This window comes from Homo sapiens, chromosome 2 (genome assembly GCF_000001405.40).
Source record: "Homo sapiens chromosome 2, GRCh38.p14 Primary Assembly".
NCBI lineage: Eukaryota > Metazoa > Chordata > Mammalia > Primates > Hominidae > Homo > Homo sapiens.
In genome coordinates, this window is record NC_000002.12 from 143,328,289 (window position 1) to 143,354,032 (window position 25,744).

Consider the following 25,744-nt stretch of genomic DNA (forward strand, 5'->3'; position numbering starts at 1 on the left):
ATGTATGTTTATCGCAGCACTGTTCATGATAGCAAAGACTTGGAACCAACCCAAATGTCCATTAATGATAGACTGGATAAAGAAAATGTGGCACATATACACCATGGAATACTATGCCACCATAAAAAAGGAGTTCATGTCCTCTGCAGGGACATGGATGAAGCTGGAAACCATCATTCTCAGCAAACTAACACAGGAAGAGAAAAACCAAACACTGCATGTTCTCATAAGTGGGACTTGAACAATGAGAACACATGGACACAGGGAGGGGAACATCACACACCAGAGCCTGTCAGGGGGTAGGGGAGTAGGGGAGGGATAGCATTAGGAGAAATACCTAATGTATGTGACGAGTTGATGGGTGCAGCAAACCACCATGGCACATGTGTAGCTATATAACAAACCTGCACATTCTGCACGTGTATCCCAGAACTTAAAGTATAATAAAAAAATAGGATGAATAAAAACTACTACTTCATAGCACAACCAGCTGACTATAGTCAACAATAATTTATTGTACATTTTAAAATCACTAAAATAGTATAATTGGAATATTTGTAACACAAAGAAATGATAAATGCTTGAGGTAAAGGATACTGTGTTTACCCTGATGTGATTGTTATGCATTACATGCCTGTATCAAAATATCTCATGTATCCCATAAATATACACACCTACTGTGGTACCCACAAAAATTAAGTTTTTTAAAAAGTGACAAAATGAAAGCAACTTGTACATTTATATTCTCTAATGTTCTCCTTGATTTCTCAATGATACAACCTTGCCCTCACAAGTGTTAAAGCAGTAACTTTACTATGCTCAAGTAAGGTGTGGCAGGTGAATTCTAACAGTGCCTCCATGATCTCTGTTCCCTGGTCTTATGTCTGTGACTAGGTTACATTATACGGCAAAGATGATGGATTTGGTTACATTTTATGGCAATGGTGAATGAATTTTGAAAATGCAGTTAAGGTCCCAAAGCAGCTGAATTTACTCAAAAAGGAGATGATCCTGAGTGGGCCTCATTTCATCATGTAAGTTCTTTGAAAGCGAGTCTAGATGTGAGAGACAATCTTCTACTGGCCTCAAATCAGAAAACAGCCACATTATGTTCTGAGTATGGAGAGGGGTGGCCTCTGGGAGGTGAGGGCCTCAGCCTCAAAACCACAGGAGGTGAATTCTGCCAAGAAGCATATGAGCTTGAAAGAGGACCCCAAAGCCTCAGAAGATACAGTAACCCCATCTGACACCTTGGTTACAACCTGTGAGATCTCAAAGAGAGGACCCAGCTCATCTGTGCACAGACTTCTAACCCATGGAAACTGTGAAATAAGAAATACTGTGTTTTGAGCTGTTAAATTGGTGGCAATTTGTTACACAGCCACAGACAACTAGTACGTAAAGTTATATCCAATGCACTATAAAACTTGTCAATTTATGTAGAAATTATATACACATACACATGTAATTTATACATATTTGCACATACACACCCCCCTCCGTAGTTCAGCAGTAGCATCACTAACTTAGAGTTTTAATTGCAAAACTTTCATTGAAGCTGTGGAGCCACTCTACAAAAGTTATGAGAGAACATATTTTTAAGAAAATTGCCCCCCTGCCCTCCAACCCCCATCACTACAAAAAAAAAAAAAAATTAGCCAAGCATGGTGGCACACAGCTGTAGTCCCAGCTACTCAGGAGCCTGAAGCAGGAGAATCGCTTGAGCCCAGGAGGCAGAGGTTGCAGTGAGCCTAGATTGCACCACTACACTCCAGCAGCCTGGGTGACAGAGCAAGGCTCTGTCTCAAAAAAAAAAAAAAAAAAAAAAAAAAAAAAAAAAAAACCAAAAACAAAAAACTAAACTAATGATTAATAATTTCAGGGGGAAAATTGGCATTAACTTCAATGTTTAGTGTTTATTTGTCAAAAGCAAGACAGAAGAGTTTAAGTGAAAATTGGCCTAAGGGATCTGTAAAATATAAATAATATGGTGTAATGTTAATATTTCAACATTCTGCCTAAAAAATTTTGTAGATATAACTTTTAACTATCCTAACATTTTCCCATCAAATTTTAATATACAAAACAAACTTGCATAATAGAAACAAATTTCTCAAGTGGCACTGTATAAGACAAATACATAAAATACCCATAGTAATTTGTGTTAAGTTTATAAGATTTCATAAGTAGCCATGTATGATTCCTAAGTCCCTGTCACTTTACAGATGAATAAAATCTATATTTTTCAGTCTCTTGAGAACATTGTATAAAGGCAAAGAAACCTAGTGAATCAGGCCTTCAGAGTTTTGAAGTAGCACATACACAATATTGCTACATGGTTTATGCAATTTCAACATATTACCCAAATGGAATTATGATTTCTAATTCAGTTTGTCCTTAAGGTTTCATTTCTCCATCAGTGATATATTGGAAAACTCCTCTAGGCAATAAATATACACAGGATGAGTTGTAATTTTCCATTTCTAAAGTAATATGTTTGGTAACTGTCAATGTCCCCAGATCAATGTGGATGTCCATAGGGAAAGTACTTATTTGCACATTAAACATAAATAACCTACATTATATGCATGCTCTTTAGATTTCCTTATGAAGGATGTTGAAGTAAATATTACTGAACCATTGTCGCTTTCTCTCTAAAGATCATTTCTTTGGTTTGAGTTGTAAGCTGATGGTCCTCGTTGGGCCCTTCATTTAATATGGACCTTTGAGTTGATCATAAATCATTTATTTCAGCTTCAAAAGGACAGAAGTCATACCTGCAGCAAGAGGTGGCTAGGAAGATCAGATGTGAATGAAGGAGTTTCCCAACTATGAGCCCACACATAAACCAGAGTTGTCTTTTACTTTATTATAATACATAACAAACATATATTTTTCCCCCTGGGAACTACATTTTAGCAATATATTTTTCATTATTTTCTATTCTTCTGGACATTATACACTGATTGCCTTTAAGATCCCTTTTGTGAAGCTTTCCTTGCTCCGATCGCTCTTCTTCCCATCCCAACTTTTTATAAAAAAAAGCATGCCATCTTTAGGTCAATAGTGTACCATAGACCTATATAACTTTATGCTGGTACTTAACTATACATATTTGTTTATTTCTGTCTCCTTTACTAGACTGTCCACTTTTCAGAGCAGGAACAGTGTCTGGTACATGATTTGTTTTGTTAAAATCCAGCAGAGCACATAATGAGTAACTATCATTCAATAAAGTGATTTTGATGTTATCCTTTGAAAAGAAATCTATGAATGCATGAGTGAATAATGAAAATTTTAGCAGTCAGATTTTAGCAGCAAGGATTATATAGACACATCTGCTTTCATATATCTCTTTCCAAAAGAAATATTGTTATGAAAACAACAAAGTGCTCTTAAGAGGTACATGAGAAAAAAATTGAAACATGTAGCTACTTTAGAAAGGCTAAGATTTTCTTCTGAGGTAAAGAGAAATGGCTGGATATTTTAGCAGTAGAGGTAGGGTTAATATCATTTCTTAAGCCTGACCTCAGGTTTAACTTGTGATTCTAATGTTAATCATTATTACATCTTATAAGACGTAAGCTTCACACCTCATAAATTTAGTCAGCTTGTTTCTACTATCCAGAGCCATGTTAAAGAACTGTTTTACAAAGCATACATTTCTAGAGTTCTTTCTGTGCCTTTTTTCAAATTGTTTCTTGTCCTTCTAGCTAATTTTCATGTGGTACCTGCCACAAAACCCTAGAAAATAATAATGCAGATGTTTGAGTCATAAGTGGTCCATCTCTCTTTCGGTCAACCTATTACGTAAATAAAATTGTACCCTTCCTTTCACCTATTTGTACAATAATTAGATCATGGTATCAATTCAAACAAAGAAATTGATGTCCTGGGAACTGGTTATACAAATACATTATTTCTTCTCTTTGAAATGAGTAGAAGGAAAGGGAACTAATAATAAAATATCACATTATTGCCTACCCACTAAAGGCAGCCTGAAATTTTACAAAACAGTCTTCCTGGGGTCGTCTCGATGGTGAGATATAACTGCCTTTCATAATACTAGAAGTACAGACATCCTCATATTTTTAAAAAATGCTTAATAAGATCTTCATCTGTTGTATTTTTCAGTTGAGATCTTTTATGCTTTATATTGTATCTAATAGGCCTATTCACAAATGAAGAGTATATGAGGGAAAAGATGAATATCACTTCATAACAAGACATTGAAATAAACTATCCTAAATTATGAAAGCTTCCCAATGCATGTGGCTTTTTTCTTCACGGCTTTTCTATTCAAATATCAAAGTGCTTCAAGTGGCTTTGATGACATACTTATGAATTCATGAAAGTGTTTTTCATAATCTGCTCACCTTTGGTGCTTAGAGGTTACGCCGATTGCTTTTATTTGCTTGGCTGGAAAAGAAGAGCTCTGAGTGGGATGCAGATACATAACACTTCAAAACAGTTCCTTACATTGTCTTAGCTACTTTTCAGAAACTTGCTGGAACTCTCTACCCAAACTTCAGGCAATGATAAGAATAAGTGTCAAATATTATTAGTTCTGGAGTATAACTACTAATTTTTGTTTCAACTGCATAGTACGTATAAAAACCTTGGAATATTTCCAGTTATCTTCACTGTCATTTAGTCCTTAAAACCCAGAACAGACATTTAAAATGAAAAAAAAAAAAAAAAGCTACCATTATATTGAGGCTGCAGATGCAAGTTGGCATCGTCAGAAGATGAATGCTTGTAGCCTTCACTGGCAACCTGACCAGACATATTCTATATAATTAAATAACGAGCAGTTTAAAAAATAAAATTACAACATCTTGGGCAATCCTTTGTGAATAATGGAGTAAGCAGGAGAGAGAGAAAAATTCCAAATGTGATTAGCAGTTGCTCTTCATGAGAAATTTTCTCCACCTCTAATATGACTTTTCTGAAAGGCTTTAATGAATACTTTCCTCAGTTAGACTGTTGTTTTAAATATCACTGTGGACTCTTTGCAGTGTTATTACCATATGAAGATGACACGTCGGTGAACTTTATCAAATGCCATGCAGCTCTTGGCATGCCATGTCTATGTAACTCATTCGAGCCCTTCTTGTCCGAGTTGCAGTACTCTTTTGCATAAATGTTAAGGTTACCACAATTCCAAAAAGAAACGAATTTTCAGAGACCTGCTTTATGAAGAAAACGGCTTTTGGAGAAAGCAGGAAATACTAGTACATCAAACAAAGTGAAAGACAAAGTAGTTTAACTTGTTGGTTTGTTTGCTGAAACTCAAAAGTAAATATACTGTAGCTCAAAGTGTTCCATTTTTATCTGCCTCCTGCAGTAATGGCTGTGTTACTTCGGGGCTTCTACTTCAATAATTGATCAGGGTTTGTATAGCACCGGCTAAGAGCAAAAATAAGAGTGTTGCTTTGAACAAACTGCTGCAATGTTATAGCATTAGGCACAGAAACAAGATTCGGGAAATATAGATATAGAAGAAACAGGAAAAAGATGGATACATTGGGTGGTAAACATTGCTTCAGGCTAGAAAGTAATGAGAATTTTTCCGTGGAGAGTTTTGACCTGCTATTCAAAAATTGTTTCTTGTCTTAATAAAATCCTAAAAGTGTAATTTACTTGCAAGAGGGAAAGAACAAAGGCACCAAAATTCTTTTGATAACAACACTTGTTAAGGTTGATAAGTTGGGTTTCAAATGTGTGAAGAAAAATGTGTGACAATTTGTTTTAAGGTGACACCCTAAGTGTTCAGATACTTCCATCTTACACTACTTATCAAGCAGGATCCTAGTTGAAGCTTCCCCTTGTACATTTGCAGTATAGACCATACTGAAATGGTAGGAACTGAATTAATCTAGAAAATATAGTTATATTTATTAGAAAACCAACAATCACAGATCTCTCTAATTTTTCTTAAGCTGGTAAAAATAAGAGTACTTTTTTTTGTTTGGTTCTAATTTGTTTTGCAGTCTAAATAAGAAGCACCAATACTTATAGAAAATACCTTTTTTCTCAACATGGAGTGTTCAAAAAGAGAATAGCTATGATATACCTTATTTTTTTCTAGACTTAATCTTACATGACTCACAAAGGTATCCATTGTTAGATGCCAACTGTTGCACACACATATGTGTCCATTTTTTTCTATTTTAAAGTTAAATTTCATCTAAATTTCAGATTCATGCCATTAAAATACTATAACCTGCTGCTGCGGTGTGCCAATGGTGATAAGATGTAAAGCATGATTGCAAAACTTTAATAATAGTGTGGGAGGAAACTGCAGTGAAAAATAATCAATGTGATTTTTTTCCTGTTATGTAGCATATTCCAAAGAGGTTGTTTATTTTATGCCTAATCACCATAAAGAAGAAAATCAAGCACTCAAATATTTCATACTAAAGAATAAGCAAAGAAGCATCTAAAATATTTGTTCATATTTATATATGCCCTTCAAAATAAAATTGGTAACTAAATGTATCCCAAATAACTGCTTCAACAGCCAGGCGTGGTGGCTCATGCCTGTGACCCAGCACTATGGGAGGCCAAGGTGGTTGGATCATCTGAGGTCGGGAGTTCGAGATCAAATAATTGCTTCAGATCTCGACTTTGCTATGCACATACTACTGTAAGTAAAAGGCAAACACTGGGATGAGAATGTGGTGACCAAGACTAGCTTTTTCCATAGTGAGTTTTTATAATGTCATCAAACTCACGATCAAAGGAATTTGGGAAATGTTGAGCATAACAAAGATAAATAGATGTCTTGACTGGAGAATTTCTCAGGGCATTTAATATGTTAAGGACCTGGAATTCAGTGTTCCCAAACATATCTGATCATGGACACTTTTATTGAGAATCCCAAGGGACCAGTGAGTCCTGGAACATACTTTGAGAAATACTGATCTTGACCTATAGCCAGCACCAACTCTGATTAGCTGTGCAGTGAGAAAATCACTTTCCTCCTTCAACTTTCTAAATTAAAAATGTCCTTATAATTCCCAGTATATTTCACAATAATGGAAAATCCTCTTAAATTATTATAGTGATACAATACTGTTTTAAGTAAAAATGTGAAAACCGTTTTAGATGCTGAGTCAGAGCGGCTGATTAGACTAATCAGCTAAAGGGTGTCTGTGGGTAGTAGTCCCCCTTCTTGCATAGTTTTGTTTGGGATTCTGCAAATTTCTGTATGGCACACGCTTTGGGGAATTTCATAAGGAGGTGAAATTATAAATATTAAATGTTTAAATGCCAAGGAAATGTTAAAACTTATTGGAACTCTTCTATTCATTCAGTATATACTTATGCCAAGCAATAACCCAGGAAGGAAGGGCATGAAGCTGAATCTGTGTTTAGGGATATAACTACCTAGGCAGAAAAGACAGACAAAAAAGCAAGTCTCTCAGTGTTTTAAGCTGTCAGATGAAACCGTAGAGTCCCATAGGTGCATGTGGTAGGAGTCTGAGTAAATTACCCAGACTGGGAAAAGCCAATGTTCACATTTGAGGTGGTTCATGAAGGACTTGAAGGGATTATTCAGGCAGAGGAAATGCACTCCAAGAAGACAGGCACAGGTGTGGAGAAAATCATGGTATGTTTCATGATTCCAATAGAAAGCTCCAGGGGAGAGGAAGGAAGCTGGAATAGTAAATGAAAATGATGATAGTTTTTATTTATTATTATTATTTTGTAGTTTATTTTTTTTGAGACACGGTTCTCACCATGTCACCCAGGCTAGACTGCAGTGGTGTGATCAATGCTCACGGCAGCCTCGACCTCCCAGGCTCAAGCGATCCTCCTGCCTCAGTATCCCAAGTAGCTGAGACTACAGGAGCACAGCAGCACACCGCCACACCTGGCTAATTTTTGTATTTTTTGTAGAGACAAGATTTCGCCATGTTGCCCAGCCTCCAGCTTGTAAATGTTATGCCACAAACTTGGATGTTTTTCCCTGGGCAATAGAGGAAACCACTGAAGGGCATACCTCTATAAGGGGAGAGGCAGATGAGTGATAGAGAAACAGCCAGAGATGAATACTGAAATCTGTGTTTTCTGATGTGCTTGAATGTATAAGAACATGACCAGTTTAGAAATAGTTTGGGGAGTTGAAAAATTATGTCAACTAGCAAAATTGACGGAGGGCAGTTCATCCTCACTATGACATTGAAAGACAAAATAATTATTAGATGGTTTTATTCTAATAACTGATTTTCAAATTATTTTTAGCCTTGGAATCCTTTGCCCATGGATTCTGCAGTTTAAAAAAAAGTGCAGTGATAAAGCAGGCATGGCTGTGTTTAATTGGTGATGATGTGGGTATGAAAGGCCCCAGGGAACTACCCTGTAGTTCTCTTTCCACTTAGCTCCCTTCTTTCCCAGGCCCAGGTATGCCCTAGGAGAGGAGGCAGAGTATGAAAATCATTCTTAATAGTGAGAAGTCATATATTTAGTCAGACATGCTAACTGGACTATTTTGTGTTTGAAGAAGACTTTCTGCTTTCTTTTTGAATTATTGTCACATTTCAGTTTTATTTATTTACTCTATAATATTTATTGAGAGCATGCTTTGTGCCAGGCCCTAGGCTGGAGACTGGGAAAACAGTGGTGATCATGGATAAGATTCCTATCACCAAGGAGTTTACAGGCTGTAAGGAAGAGGGCCCTAGATAGGTATGAAGCTGCCAATGTGCAGTGTTTCAGGAGGTGGAAGGGGGTGGGAGAGAAACCTCCAAGACATGCAGGTAATCTGGTCAAGGAGGACAGAGGGAGGGAGTTTTCGGTGAGGTGGAAAGGGCAGAAGGTGGAGCTTGGATAGGTGGGGAGGTAAGGGGTTGAAAGTGAACTCCAGACTGAGTGAAGAGAGTGTGCAAAAGTGCTGTGAAGATGGTCCATTTGAGGACTTCCCAACTTGCTGGTCTAGCTGGAGAGAAAGAGCAGAAGAAGGTAGCAGAAGATAGGAGGCTAGGGAGGTGGGAGGAAGGGGCCAGATTGCAGTTTTGATGGCTGAGTTAAAGATTTCATATTTATTTGAAGTTCAATGGGAAGCCATGAAATGACTCAAGGCAGTGCAGCATGATGTTGTTTTTTTGGCATGTGGTATTGTTTCTATAGGCTGTATATGACAAATATGTCAAATTTTGCATTACGTTCTGGATTCAGGGATTTTGCCTACCTAGGTTTCTGCATTACATTCAGGAAAGAGCTACTTAAATGGAAACATATAAAGTCATTACTCTGAAGGTCTCTCTACTGTTACCAATTTTGATATGAAATTAGCTGTACAATACCTTCTTTTCAGGGATTTTTAGGAATTTAACACCTTCTGGAGTTCTCTTTTAGGTTTTCGTACTTTTGGGATCACAGTATTTATTTTCAGAATAACTCCAGGTCAACTAAATTCAGCAATGACTGGCAAAATATCAAACATAAAAAAAAAGTGGAAGGTGTGCTGCTTATTCGATAGCAAAATCCTACCAAAACACTGGAAGGTAGAATGCCATTGGCCTATGATAATTAAATTGAAGGGGAGAACACAGCATTAAATTAATTGCTCAGCTGGAAATTATTTAGTAATTCTCTGACTTTTAAATCCCCAAGGTTTTCTTCTTGATATAGTACTGTTAGACATCTTAAAATGTAAATTTTTGAAGGCATTACTCCTCCCTTTCACTTCTAGTTCTCAAATGTACCTTTAATGTGTCTAGTAACAATAATAAACACTTACTGAGCCCTTAAGATATGGTGAGCATTAATCTAACTCTTATATGTTCTATCTCATTTTCCCCTTACAATTACTTCCATGAAGTAGGAGTGCTATTATTATTCTTTGAGAGCCTTTAGAAGAGATAACTTACTTAGGAGTATACCAGTGAGTAAGTGGCTGAGTAGAGGTTTAACCCAAGAAGTCCAATCAAGAGCAGAGTGATTAAGTACTGTAGTAACCTGCCTTGAAAGTAAATAGAAATAAACATAGAGCTGTATATTTCATGGTAGCTAACAAATTTCTAACATGTGGACAGAAGAAGAAAAAGACTAGTACCTTCAACTCACGTGGATCAGATTCAATGGTTCTTTGTATTGTAAGGAAAATTATTGTCAAGGAGCAAAACTATTTATCTCAGAGACTAGAATTTGTTAGTGCAAGCCTATGTGACATTAAAATACAATGTGTGAAAGGCATCCACAATCTCTCCAACAAATAGAATCAGGATCCTCTATTTGATTACTCGATGGGAAGTAGGAGATGAAAAGAAGGCATTGTACAGCTAATTTAGTATCAAATTGTTAAATAATAAGAGTAGAGAGACTGTCAGAATAATGACTTTATATATTTCCATTTAAGTAGCTTTTTCTTGCAAACTCTTTAAGGTAAAATCAACCAAACCAAAACTTCACTGTAAGGCATGACTTTTGACCCAGATGTCTATCAGGGAAAAGAAAGATCACAAAACCTGTGCACCAATGCCCTGGAGTCAGACTGCCTGGTTCAAATTCTTCTTCAGTTCCTTGATAGGTTGCTTACCCTTTACAAGCTATTCAACCTTTCTAAATTTCAATTTGTTTATAAAATTAGAACTAATAGTACCTCCCTCACTGTGTTGATAAAAATTCTGGGTTCCAAAATTCAAGTTCTTTCCACTATGTCATTCTAGATAATAGAAAACCAAGAAAGAATGCCATAACAAGCAATAAGTATGAGGTAATGTGTTCTTTGTTGGGGATAGCTATCCATTTTTTTTCATAAATATTGATTGAATGCCCATTATATGTCAGACTTGATTCTAAAGGATATGCCCCTTAAATGTCATGCCAACTTCTAATATTTAATTAAAGAGCAGGAAAGGGCCTGTTGTTTTTGTTGCTGTGGTTGTTGACTGTAGCGGAGTGTTGGGTAGTGAAAAAGATGACTGAACTAGGATGTGTGACCTTGGTGGCAGGCACAGACCTCCCAGGTTGGAGCCTTTGGGCAAGTCTCTTTTCTCTACTCCTGAGTACTCAATTTCTTATCTCTAAAAGGAAAGACTAGGTAACACACTGAGCCAGATATTATTCACAAATAGGGTCAGATTCACAAACTTTTGATAGTCAGATACAGGATACAGCAATGAATTATAATGGGATAGCAAAGATGAATTATAGGAAGAGTGGGTAATACTTCTCATCAGAAACATCAAGCAAACCTACAAAAAGAGATGCTGTGACTATGAAGACAGATTATGTTATATTCCAGACAATCTTGGGTGCCTGGAAAGGAGTCTGGAATTACTCTATTGGCAGCGAGGCCACCAAAAGAAGTCAGTTCCTACCTATTTCTCCCATGTCATCAAATGTGAAACCCAGACCTCTGTCCATTTTATTAAAATTATCCTAGATTCCATCTTGCTTCTCCACGGTGCCTATGGTTTTGTCTACTGACAATCTATGACTAAGATTCTCAAGTTATACTTTATGTGTGTTCACATAAAATAGCACACTATACTTTAAAATGTAGCCAGCTATTCAGCATCATCACTGTAATTTGTATTTATAGTATTGAAGCTAATCCTGTGTCTCACTTACTATGTGAAACTCTCTGAAGAATATTTTGGGTGTTCTCATACAACTTTGTAGATGGCCCATAAATCAATAAGGACCTTCTTTCAACAAACCAGTCATTTTATTCCTTCTTGATTTCTAAACGTCTCAGACTCACATAACCCAACATTAGTGTTCTTTCTTTCTCTTTGAAAACTACAATCAGTATGTTTAAAACATACTGCTCATATATACAGAAGCAATACGTATATGAAAAAGACAAAAAAATAGGACTATTTCATTTAAGAGAGGGACATTTTGTCGTTTGGGCAGATACCTGCCAGTCTAGGCTTTCTATACTTTTATTTTACTTATTGGAATAACGGTTTAAGCTGCAGAACCAAAGAGAACCAAGACAGGTTGGAAACTTTTCAGGGTGAAAGTGACCAGTAATAAACCAGGCAAAGCAAGAGGAAAGAGACTGGAAGAAAAAAAGGCCTGTGGGTGCTGTTTTATGGGATAGTGTTGAGAAATTTTGACGGAATGAACAAGGTAATTTTAACATGTGCTCCACTGTGTAAGATATTGAGACAGAGCTGGGGAAAGATTTTGAAGGTTTTCTCTGTCTTAGTGATGTAATTTTCATTTGCTGTCTATTATAGCTGATTTTATCCTAAATTTTTAATGGCAGATTTTTTCTCTTTTTTTTTTTAATAAATTTTAAAAGAAAACAATTACTTTTTATGGGCAAGCAGTGTGCAAGCACCTTTGTTCAAGCTGTTCATAAACCACAAATCTGGCAACTTCTAAATTGGAAAACTCAGGGTGTCATTAAGAGCAGAGATTGCCGGAATGCTGATTCTCATAACAAAGGCCACCAATAGGCTCACTTTTCTGAAAGAAGGCAACTTTGGTGGCAAGATTTGCTCCTCTGTTCATATGATGAAACCCTAGCACTAGTGGAAAGGTTGGTGGCACACAATGGAAAAGTACGCTTACTGAAAAAATATTTTTCTTTTTCTGTTTTTCTGACCTTTGACTTGGCAATGCTAAATTAAAAACGGCTAAGTGGAAAACTATACTTGGAAAAAATAGAAGTTGATCTAATAAATCAGAATACTGAAATGTTCACTATCATTTGGCCAACGTAAGACAGGTAGCTTTTTGTTTTTACCGTTTTGGGAGTATTTATTCATTCATTTGACTTAGTTTTGTCCATTGATGATTTGTTCTCTAAAAACATGCAGAGAAGTCCCTTCCTCTCTTCTCTGTGAACACATAGAAGCCAGCGGGTCCTGCTTTTGTGGTCCTGTCACATCATCCATTAGATATGGCATTTATCTACCTCTCCGGCATCCCTTCTTTTGGAATTTCATTGAGGGGATGAACCACATCCCCTTTTTCTTTCGTATTCATTATCTTAGAATAGCCCCTGAACCATAGCCTACTCATCAAATCACTCTTTAAGACACTGTCATATTTGAATTGAGATCTTTCACATTATCCACTGCTGTTGTGAAAATATTAGGATTTCACTGATATAACAACTTTATAGGTGAAGCTAACAGATTCCTCAGAAGTTTCTGGCAATGTGTGAGGTTTCCTCTAGGACGAATAACACCTTTAAATCCACTCCCAATGCATTTTCTGAAGTTAATTTAAAATAATATACAATCTGTTTGTCCCAGCTTCAGATTCCCCATGTCCTCTTCTTTCCTTTTCGGTTTTGGTTATGCTTAGTCTAAAGTCACATGTGCATTTGAAAGCAACAGAACAAGGAATTCTACACCAAATTTCATCTCGCCAAACCATTTTTTTCCCCTACTCATGTAAGTTCCTAAAATTTCTTGCTTACTCTGCATTAATGCTAAATTACAACATATAGAATGTCTCCCAATGATTTCCAACCAAAGACATAGTACATATTGGTTTCCCTTTCTGCTTATTTAATAAAGTTAGTAGACCCACATTGCCCTGATCAGTCACAGAACTATTATTAAAATTATGCAAAATGTAGAATTTCACAAAATACTGATTATTCTTAACTCTCAGCAATTCTGCTGCTTAAATGTTTCAAAATATAACTTGCTTTCAGTTAGATGATATAAAAAGTTATATAGTTTCAAACTTAAGAAATAGTTTTAATCATTAAAAATACATATAAACCCTATTTTGTATTTAGCTTATCCAATATTCTTCACAATGCCCATGCATTAATGGTAGAATTGGAGACAACTCCATATTTGTTTTCAAATACCACAAGACTTATTGTGAGCTAAATGTCTATTGAGCAGAATTTTACCCATTGTACATAACGACATGATAGAAAATTATGATGATTTGGAGATTCATAAAAGTTGAAAGCTATATCCTAAGCATCAACAGATACTATCTGGGCTTTTCATGGGAATCATGGGTATTGCTAGTGTTTTCTCAAAAAGAAAGAACACTCATAAGGGAAGTTTATATGTCTAGAAATGTAGGACAGACCAGTCTTTAGAGGGAAAAAATACTCATCTAGCAGTATAATATTTCATAAGAAAAAGAAGTGTCTCGAATAGGAAAGATGATTTACTTTTTGTGCTATTAATAAAGCCTTAATAAAGGGATTTTTAATGTGAATATGCCATGATCATTCTCTCCTGTATGGCGATAGAGTAATTTGGCTACTTATAGGGTATTCATCCAGACACATGATTCTTCAGTGTTATTGTATAAGTAATTGCATTTTAAAGGCTGTAAGCTTTACACAGGGTCTTATGTCTAGCACTGAAGTTCCAAAAGGCTAAAATAAATTATAACATCCCACCTGTTGCTCTGACAACCTTTAAGTTTGTGTAGAATTATTTCTTTGTTAAGTCTGTGTGTCAGAAACTATGCTGGGTTCTGGATGAGGCAAAATTGTATAACAGCTTCATAGCATGAGTCCCATCATACATATAAGACCCATTGTGAATATATGATCACTAGATACCTTTTCTTAAAATCTCTCTCCTTAGTGAGCTGTTCCCTAACAATAATATTGACAATATTAATCACCTCTTCCAATACCACACACTTTCCTTCCTTGTTTTAATCTTTTTTTGTAAGAACTTAACACTACCTAACCGCATATATGTGTGTGTGTGTAAATTAGTATTTTTTGTTGTATTATTTTGCAAGTTGAGAATAAAATTTCATGAGATTAGAAAATTTTATCTATTTTTGTTCAGTGATATGTTCTCAGTTCCTACAACCTACAACAAGCTTCATAAGTATTTAGAGAGTGATGAAGACAGTATAATTAGTAGTAGGGTAGATTTTTATGATGATGTGATAGCACGAATGATAAACCCCGCACTGGTTAAAGTTTTTACAGGAAAATCATATTTAATCTGAGTTTTCATGGATAAGTAGGAGCTCACCATGTGGACAAGGGAGCATGGAGAGAGGCTAATTCAGGAAGAGAGAAGAGCATCTACAGAGCATGAGGACGCATGTTGAAAAACGGCAGTCAGTTCTGGGATAGAGAATAAAGGCAACAGGTGTCAAGGGAATTTGGCAGGGGGTGGGGTGGTCAGAAAGGGTCAGAGAAAAAAGTTACTGAAAGGATCAGAAAACAGGTAGAGATTGGACTAAGAATGTTTTATATCTTTGTTAGAAGTTTAAATTTCAGGCTTACAGCAATGAGAAATCTTTGAAGGGCTTTCTGCAGGGCAGTGGAAAGATCAGATTTGCCCTTGAAAGATCACTGTGTTGGCAGTGTGGGGGGATGGATAGAAACTCGATATTTGTTGCGTTAATGAATGATTTCTCAACGTTACTTTAGACCTTACAATTTGGTGATTCTTCAAGCTTTACTATAAATATTGACAGATTGAGAAAATAAATAACTGAGTGATGGAGCAGCTCTAGTGAGGAAGACAAGATTGCACCCAATTTTTCAGGGCATTAAAATTGGGGAGCTTTCTCTAAGCCTCTTACTATTTCTGCAACTATTCCTACCATTACACTAATCTAGGTTACTCCTATTAATAATCTCTTTTCTCTGAAAATCTTTAACTGTCTTAAACAGAAGCTTTCTACTTTAAAAACAAAAACAATTTTTGACTTTTGCTGTCTGCCAAAATTGATTTGCTACAAATCAGGTTTAGCTATGTACTTCTTATTCATTATGGAAAGTAGTTAATGCAAATTTAAATATCAGCACTCCCCACCACAGATAAAAACAAACTTACATAAAAAACAGATTGCCAGGCAGGCTTTGAGGAGTCTCTGATGTACACACATTCAGAACGATTACTTGTTCCAAATTCCCTTTCAATAACACACCTTTTATTCTCTCATCTACTCCAATACGTTGGGAATTAGTTTTCTCAGATGGTTGTTTGAAAGTGGTTAGCGTCTTTAACCCTGAGTAGAAAAGTAGTATAGGCAATTTGGTATTCTTTCTTTCAAAGCCTGATATAACTAATGCATTTATCAAGAGCAGAAATTAAGTATAGATTGTCTCTAAACTGCTATTTGTATGTAAATATCAACAAGTTTTTTAAGATGTAAGAATTGGCTTAATTTTAACAATGCTTTTGACCTAAGCCTTTAGTTATGTAATTATTTACTCAAGTAAAAGTTTAGGTAGCAGTATAGTAGAGTGTGTATTAAGGAAGTACTGAGCTAATTTTCTTCAATTAAATAAAACCTCTCTCTGGCCAGATTATATAAATCAGCTTTGGCACCATGTGAAAAAAGAATTCATTTGTCATTAATGAAATGATATTTTGTGAAAACTTCGGCATAAATTATTTACAAATTTATACTAGGTTAGTAAATTCTGACCATTCCGTGGAAAAGTTGAGAATATTATGCAGACCATGGCTTGAAAAGAACACTGTATCACATTTATTCATTTTGCACATTTTTTACTGGGTGTCTTATAGATGTCAGGCAGAGAGGAGTGAAGACCAGCAAGATCCCTTCTGTGACAGCACTTACACTTCAGTAAAAAGAGGAGAAAGGCAATAAACAAATAAACAAGTAAACTACAAGGAATATCACATAGTCAAAAGGGCTTTGCTGAAAATATAACTAATGAGGAAGGCTGCAGGGCTGCTCTGCAGGGCTCTTAAGCGGTCGGAAAATCATTGCTGAGAACACAAGACTTGAAGTTGATCTCTGATTTTCTCAGAAGGCCTCTCTTACTTCAACAAGGTGTGATTCAACAATAACATCAACAAATCACACCAGCAGTTCAGAGGTTAGGGTTGATCATTTACCACATTTTTTAACTTTATACTGTTAGCATTTTAAAGTCACCCAGCATTATTATTAGCAAGTGGATTTATTTTCAATTTCATTTCCTAGTAATGTGATTTAAAACTATCTCAAAAAATGGAAATTATGGTTTCAGTAGTTAAAATTATTTTATGGGTTTGGAGCATATGAAATCAAAGAGCTACAATTAGCCTAAGCCAGTATCAGTTCAAGCTTCCCCCACATGGTTTTACTAATACCCTTCAAATTCTGACTTCTGCCATTCCAGCCATATGTCTCTTTAAGCAGATACACTGTGTAGTGCCAAAGTGTGTCAAGGACATCACTAGGTTACCAAAATCATTTTTATGTGCAACTTCTTGCAATATTCCAAAGTACTCTTCCACCTGAACCCCACCCCAACCCCTAAAATATAATTTTAATAACACACATTAAAATGTCATGCTGATAATAAACTCAGAGATAAATTACAGGGAATCTGTCTGTATTTTTTTTTAACGCTTTTGGCACTAACATAATGGTGTAAGCACATGGACTCACACACATTGCCTAAATTCAGTTTCTTTCATTTTTTTGCAGGCTTTGGGTACAGAGTAGTGCAAAAATTTATAATTGTTATTCAGTGCATACATTTTAAGAAAGAGCTAGAATGCTAGGCATATGAATTTGTGTTTGCAAGGTGTATACTAAGAGAATAGAATTGTACATATATGTGATGTGGCTTTTTAGTTTCTGATTGCAGTTTTATCACCATATTATCTTGTGTTGCTGCTGGGGAAAGCAACAAACAGTGGCTTTTGCCATCTCAGTGAACGGAGATCTCTGGAAATTGCACCTGTTCATTATATGAGAAATCCTTCTGTGGGCAGAGAGGAGGGATTCAGTTTTATTCTCAAACTGTTGCCTAATTCTTATAACTTGTGCATATTTTTTTGAGTCATGATTGTACAATCTGCTACCCATTTTGGGATAAAAACACTATTGAAATTGAGCATACTAACTTTAACCAAGCTGCATTTTTTATGAATCAGGTTGTAAAGTTGACTGCCACGATACAGTCATGTCCTGTACAAATGAGCACACACACACACACACACTCTCTCTCTCACACACACACTCTCTCTCTCACACACACACTCTCTCTCACACACACTCTCTCTCACACACACACACTCACACACACACACACACACACACACTCACAAACACACCAGGGAGAGGATTACATTGAACACTCGGAAGCTCATTATTCTTCCAAAATAAAGAGTTAATTTTTTCCCTACTGGTCTTTCCATCTTTGAAACACCATGAGTCACGGTGTTTCCCATTTCACAAACACCACGGATTCTTTATTGTCTGTGAGGCTTCCATGTACTGCAGTAATTTTGAATTGGATATGTTATGTCCAAATTGACAGTAGTGATTAAGCCAAAAATAAGTGCATTTTCCTTTAAATGTTAGCTGCAGCATCAAGTAACATTCCCTACATTATGCTATACTGAAACAAGTCAGTCGGCACCGACCAAAATGTTGATGGATATACAGCAGATCAAAAAGAGGAGAATCATTTTGAAGTGCTCGCTATCTGTCTGAGACGATAGGCTTCTGAATTTGTACCTCTTTGCAAAAAGAGACTTCACATTATTTTGTCAGTTTGTTTCAATTTGAGAGGTGTTGAAAATTGGTATTCATTTTTTTGATATAACCCTTAAATTGTACAATTTAAGAAAACTGACTGAAAGAGATAAATTAAATGGGTAGAAATATTTTCAAATCAAAGACCAACTGACACATATAAAAATGATGTATGTTTCTTACATGGTCCACAGGGAGAATTCTGCAGGCTTGCTATGATCTCTACAATTTGCTTCAGGGCAAACTAGATTCTGGGATATTCTATTATCCCTTTGGTCTGTTTATCATGGAAACTGATGTACAAATCGAGAGGTCTTTTTGGTCTCTTTCTTTCTATATGGTTGGAACTGGTAAGAATTCACTTATCTCATGTCCTCACCTTCGGTAAAGTGCTACAGAAGAGTTCAGTGACCAGTAATCAATTATTATTGAGAAGCAATCAATTGCTAATTTCCATAATTATGCACATCTAAACACTATGAACAAGAAAGAGAAACAAAGCTGCACTCCCAGCATTGCCTTGTTAGCAGTATTTTGTTAACACAGGCTCTAAAAAAAGCTGCCGCAGCTGGTACCACAAATGTGTTTCCAGTATTCAGGCCATCAACGTGATTCGTCGCTAAATGTATAGAATCAGCTTCTTGCTAAAAACTACAATTACAGGTGATATACAGATTGAAATCACAGGGCTGGTTTGTCGAAGAAAATTGTCCTAATGATGGGTTTTCGGATGGGGAATGCAGCTCTTTTCTTTCTCTGTGATGGGTTGTGAAGGCAGCTGCACCTGCCTCTATGCTGTATTCTGCCGCACTTAATGATATCTGATGATATCATTAGGCAAAGTGTTCATAAACAGATGTTGAGCCTGTGCCTAAATGCTGTCAGATGAGCGGTTGCTGGCCTGAAACAGTATTATTTATATAGAACATTTACGTTTGTTATGTTAATAACCCCACTATTAGCTCTCTGGATGTTGCGTTAGGAATGTAAATGTAGTTAATATGAATAACAACCTCTTTACTCTTTGTGCTGCAGTTGAGTATAACTTTTAGGCTTTGGGAGAGAAACAAAGATACCCCCACCAAGTCCTTTTGACTTCGTGATTTTTTTTTTTTTTTTTGGCACCATTTGAAATTTTGATCAGAAGATAAATGGTAAGAATCCTAAGACAGATGTTAAATATTAGAATTTGATTTTCCTCACGGTTCATAATTTTGAGAGATTTTGATATCTGTAAGTTATTTTGTGTGAGCCCAGTTTGTTACCCTAATAAATCAGAGTGATGATCATGGACACTCAATTGACAAAGTATCCATTTCAACTAGAATGTCCTAAACATACTGTCAGATATGGACCCATTTTTGTTCCAGCTCTTTTGCTGACATGATCATATTTTTTCCCCAGTAACCTATTGGGGCACTAAGGTCATATGTCACAGTCATTTTTGTCATATTTGTGTTGGTGATTTAGGCAATACCTTGATGTCATACTCACAATGCCTCAAAATGTCACATGACAATTACTGCGTGTGTGTTTAAGCCAAAGTTGAATTTTATGCCTCATAGTTAATTCATGCAGAGTAAGTTATGTAAATTCTGACAGTCATCAAATGTGCGCTATTTCTCTGAAATAATGTTCTACTCTGATAGCCACACTATTTTTTTCGAAAGTGCCTTTGTCATTCTTTATGATATTTTAACTCTTTCTTAAATTTCCAGTACTGAAAAATTGCACTTGCCTATTTTCAGGATTAAAAAAAAACTGTTATTTTCAATTGTTAATGAAGAATAAAACCAAACAGTGTTAAACTGGTGCTTCATTACAACCATAATTAGAGGTTAGAGTGCTTTCTGAAGTGTCAGCTTCATCTCAATTAATGCTTATGAAGTCATTCACGTTGCTAAAAGTGGTAAAGGTGTCCATGTATGTTGGTCTGTAGGTGTGAGCAGCAAACTAGAGGTACACGTTTACATGTGCGACTATTCTCATTCCATCTTACACCTAAGGATAGTCTGAATTATTTGTGATTTTAAATAATCATTATAAAATTTCAATGGTGATAGTTTTTCCCATGCCTCCACTACCTGTCATTTCAATACTGATCTTCTAGAAAATGCTGAAAATGCCAGATCCTTTTTATATGGAGATTTACCTCCAATCTTCCAAATAAGGAAATGGGAAAAGTAAATTAAGTCAGAAGGTGTTCCATTCTCTATGAATCGCCTCCTGATTATGATGTTTATGTGGAGTAGATTTTTAAAAATCTGTAACTGTTCGATAAGAGAAATGTGGGTACTGGAAGGAATGAAATAACTCCTAACATCCTGAACAACACATACAAATATAACATGTCAAAGGACTCTTAAGATTATCAAGTTATTTAGACCCTCCAAAGTTTCTTTTATTGACATTGTTGGAAGTTGTTCAGAAGAAACTTGAAGATTGCATTTTTATTTGTTCATCTAGTCAACACTTAGGAAAGCTAGCCAATAAAAATGTTCATTCTGAACTTGGAAATTTAGATCGATTTGAGTGAGAGGATAAAAGGGACTGCTGAAAACATCAACTATTGTTGAAAAAAGATCAATTCATCAAAGTCTATTTAACAGGCATGGGAGCCTACCACTGTCTCCAAGAAGTCTTCAGTTCCTGTCTTTTCCTCAGTGGCAGTAATTCTGATCAGTTCCTTAGGATGAGTGCCTATCCATGGCATATATTAATTCACCTTCATTCTTAAAGATGGAAAGTAATGCAGTCATTTAGCTTGTAATTTTCTAAAATAATTCAGTTTCTTATGTTGAAATTGAGTGAGGGTCACTTTGCATGTGAAGATATCTCTGCTGAAGCCAATTAATGCATTCTATTTTTTGATATTTGTATTTACCTACATAACTAGACTTTCATGTAAATCTCTTAATGTATAATAAATATCTTTTGTATTAGTATGATGACATTGTTAACCTATGTGCAGGGATTGTAGCTTTTCCTGTGTTTCACAACAAACTCCAGAGTCCGAGTGTAAAGCAATGAATAAATCTGAAATCTAGCAATGTGAATTTTAGCCTCAGCTAAGCTAATTTCTATGTATGGTTGAGCAAGTGCATTACCTTTCTAGGCCTCAATTTCTCTGCTATAATATATTTATGCTACCTTACTCTCTTGTTTCTTGGAAGGATATGCATATGGATGATAAGATATTAAGATCTGTAGAAGAAGAATGGTTTGAGTCCACCATTTCAATTTAAACTTAGTGGCAGTTAGTTGAAATATAATAGGCCTTTTTGACAACACATTAAAATAAGCACTTATTATAAAATATCTCCTTGCAATAATATTATCGTAGTTTTATTTTTATTTTCTTAATTTTTGTTTATACCCTAAAAATGGAGAGAGTATATAAAAATATATTTTACCATCACAAAACAGATTTTTGGACTATCTTCCCTCAGTGAAAACTACTTTAAGTCAATATCTATTCATGTTTATAATTAGTTTAATTTTCAGCATATTTTTTAAAAAGCATATCTTTGATTCACTGATACTGCATTTTGTGCCTCCTGTATGTATTCTAACTGGAATGACCAGGGATTTTTATCATTTGCCTGAGTTTCAACATCTGTAATAGTTAGGAGAGTTCATGTAGAACTCTACACTCATGAACATAAGAAAACTGTTTGCCTTTTTAAAAGTAAGGCTAGTATCTTCAGAATGGACCATAACTAGTTTCATATCAAAGAAAAGTTGGAAACTGCCTAGAGGATGCTAATCCATTAGTTATTTTATTTTATCATTTATTTTTCCAATGTATGAAATTATATATTTTGTGGGCTGGGTGTGGTGGCTCACGCATGTAATCCCAGCACTTTGGGAGGCCGAGGGGGGTGGATCACGAGGTCAGGAGATCGAGACCATCCTGGCTAACACAGTGAAACCCCGTCTCTATTAAAAATTAAAAAAAAAAAAAAAAGAAAGAAAAAATTAGCCAGGCGTGGTGGTGGGCATCTGTAGTCCCAACTACTCAGAAGGCTGAGGCAGGAGAATGGCGTGAACCCAGGAGGTGGAGTGTGCAGTGAGCCGAGATCGCGCCACTGCACTCCAGTCTCGATGACAGAGCGAGACTCAGTCTCAAAAAAAAAAAAAAAAAAAAAAAAGAAATTATATATTTTGTGGTAAGATGGCCTCAAGGAGCAAATAGGAAATATTCAGCCAATTGTCTCGGTTCTCTTTATGTATCTTACTGGTCTTTATTAAAATATCTATTATAGTATGTAAGTAAAGCCAGTTTCAAAGTCTGGGGCTTATATAGTACCCAGAAGGTCATTTAGGTCTTTATGAGAGAAAACTGGAGTTGTAAAGACAATAGACATGCTGTAGCTGTGAAGGTCAAAAGTTTAAGAATGGATGCCGTATGCACAAAGTATGCTTCTGACAATAACTGCAAAAAGTTACGTGCATTAATATGAACTCTTGATTGTTATTTAGCATGTATAAGGACTACTAGTCTATTCTTACCATTTTGTGTTGGTCTTTTAGTCTAAAACAGCCGTAAGCAATCAACTAATATATTTTAAAGGTTCATCATGATTGATATATGTTTTTGATAAGGCACATTCTTCTACTGGGTGCTTTAATATCATCAGGGAATTGTCCAGCAAATAACTGAAGACCTCAAAGCTGATTTTCACCTGGAAAGGAAGAGAAGGGGGAAAAGGGGAGGGAGAGAGTGAGACTACTGAATTTCTGGATATAACACTATAATCAAATTCCACCTTCATTAAGCAAAATGCTTCAATGGACAAAGTATATTTGCCATGATGAGCAGAATTTGCCCTAGGTGGTCAGAGTCACCAGTTTCTTGGGTCCATTTCTTCTACAAGGAATGGCTTTTTAACCTGGCGGGATAGGCGATGTCTATGGTAGTGGCCCGAATTTGGGCATCTGTAATTATGTTAGCTTGCAATTAAGCTGACTTGTGGTGGGAGGATTAATGTCAGAAGATTCCCCATTTTTCAATCTTGTGTCTACATCAGTAAGATCGAACTAATTGCTAATTGGCATTTAGAAAATGAACTACTCTGGTACCCTGGAGCTTTGCTGTGATATGGCATGGAATTAGGAATATGATATTTCTCTCTTTGATAAAAGAGAATGGTATTTACTCCAGGAAGTAACATAGATTCTCATTATACTTTTCTTATCTAAAATATAAATAAAAGGATCAGTTCACTATTTATAGAACATATTTATTTACAAGATGTGGATTTCCTAGATACCATTATCTTGGACTAAATCATAAGAAACAGACATCATTCATCAAGAATTAAGACAAAGCTTCACCCTGAATAACCTTTATTGTCCTCAACTTTCGAACAACATTACAATTCTTTGTAGTTTGATTTACATTGTATTGCAGTATTTTAAATGTGCCCCTCTGCCCCCCATTGCTTTTGGCAAAGAATACCCTAACATATTTAGTGATTTTTAGTTTTTTATGATATATTTTCCGGGGAAATTTATAGTTTGGAAAACATTTGTTTAAAGAGCTTTCTTTATGTACTACTGCCATCTAAATAAATAAATATTGTTAAGAAGCTACTACCAGAAAATTATGTTAAGATTCATTTAATAGACTTTTAAAAAATAGATTTGCCTTTCTCTACCTTCTAGAGTCATTGAAATAAAATAATGATCTTTAAAATGTGGTTGCCTTCAAAACACCTAAATATTTGGGGTTTCATTTCAATCACTCTGATTAGCATTTTTTTAGACTAGTATTTTCTAAAATGTGGCCCATACTTTCCATGATGATCTATGGAAAAATTATCAATGGTCAAATAAGTTTGAGGGAATTTGCATGTGCTATAATATTTTCTACCTGGAGAGCCACAATACAAATTAACATCAAGGCTGTGAGAAGTCCTGAATAAAAATATTTCTTTGCTTAACTCAGAATTTAAAATATTTCTGTAACTATGGAATATCCTTTTATCTTTGGATTAAATACTGCAGAGCTGATGGTCAACCCAGCTCACATTGACCAACATTTTACAAATTATTTTGCATGAAAGGCATAGGCAGATTATTTCCACATAAATAAACTGTCACCTTAACAAATTCTAATTTCTTCCACATCCTTTGCGAATTGAATAGCTAAAATGTTACTGAGTTGTAAATAAATCTTTCTTAAAAAGTGTACAATCTTTGAAAGTTCCATTGCATCATCATTATCAAAACCATTATTTATAATTTTACTTTAATAAGTACATGAAATTTTCTGATTTAGGGTTTCTCCTACTGTTGAAATGACATATAACATTGAACTAGAATAACACTTTATAAACAATTTAAAGAAACTTTTTTTTTCAGGAAAAGAATAGATGTGTAATACATTTTAAAAAAAATTAGAAGGCACATAAGCAAGAAATGATTGACAAGCTGGGCCTGGTGGCACATGTTTGTAGTTCCAGCTACACCGGAGGCTGAGTCTGAGGATTGTAGGGCCCAAGAGTTTGAGGCTGCATTGAGCTATGATCACACCACTTCACTCCAGCCTGGACAACAATGTGAGATCCTGTCTCTAAAAAAATTAAATAATAAAAGATTGACATTGAATGTAAGGACAACCAAGATTAGTCCAGCCCTTTAAGAGAAACTTCTTGTGCTATAAAGGGTTTTGGTGCTTTTTTAGCAAAGTGGGAAAATGCAACTGTATACTTATGTCTTGCTGGTTAATATCCCACTGGTCTCTACACTCTTTAGTTAGGTTAAATACATGGTGTGAAGGTGGTTTTGCATTGCTAAAGATCTTTTTATTTTTAATTTTTTTTAGAATCTCAAAATTTTTACTCATTCAGTTAGATAAATGAACCTGTGTCCGAATTACATGAGACAGGAGATACACAGAAATAACGCCTATCATTCTTCAACCTGAAACCGACAAATGAAAGCTTCTTCTCATTCCAGGGTTCTAAAATTGTGAGATGGTTGCAGCCCGATTTCATAATTTCCATGTATTTGTTGATTGACTGGGAAACTAAGGAACCATAACTTAGAAACTGTTTTAGAATGTGCCAAGATTATCCTGCAGTGTCTTAGGCATGGATTTTTGTTTATAAATATTTTCTCAGAACATCAATAATTGTCTTTTCAGTTCAAACATATTAAAAATGCTACGGTAACAAATTATCATTGAAGTTTGTTGCCCCAAAGTTGTCATGATGGAGCAAGATTTTAAGGCTCTAGAATGATGTTGTCTACAGAGCAATTTTACCTGTTCAGGTATTTTTTTTTTTTCTTCAAACAAGAACCTCTCCCTTGCATT

General features: G+C 35.5%; 1 protein-coding gene across 11 annotated transcripts in view, besides 1 other annotated feature; it reads left to right on the top strand.

The window, feature by feature from the left end:
• ARHGAP15 (Rho GTPase activating protein 15) overlaps window positions 1–25,744 on the top strand; it is a 638,934-nt gene that overhangs the window by 198,870 nt on the left and 414,320 nt on the right. The gene's annotated exons all lie outside the window — the stretch shown is intronic.
• Window positions 18,025–19,787: an enhancer, noted in NCBI's record as "VISTA enhancer hs675". NCBI's record gives its function as "enhancer in: forebrain[10/12]" and the evidence as "EXISTENCE:transgenic organism evidence [ECO:0001131][PMID:17130149]".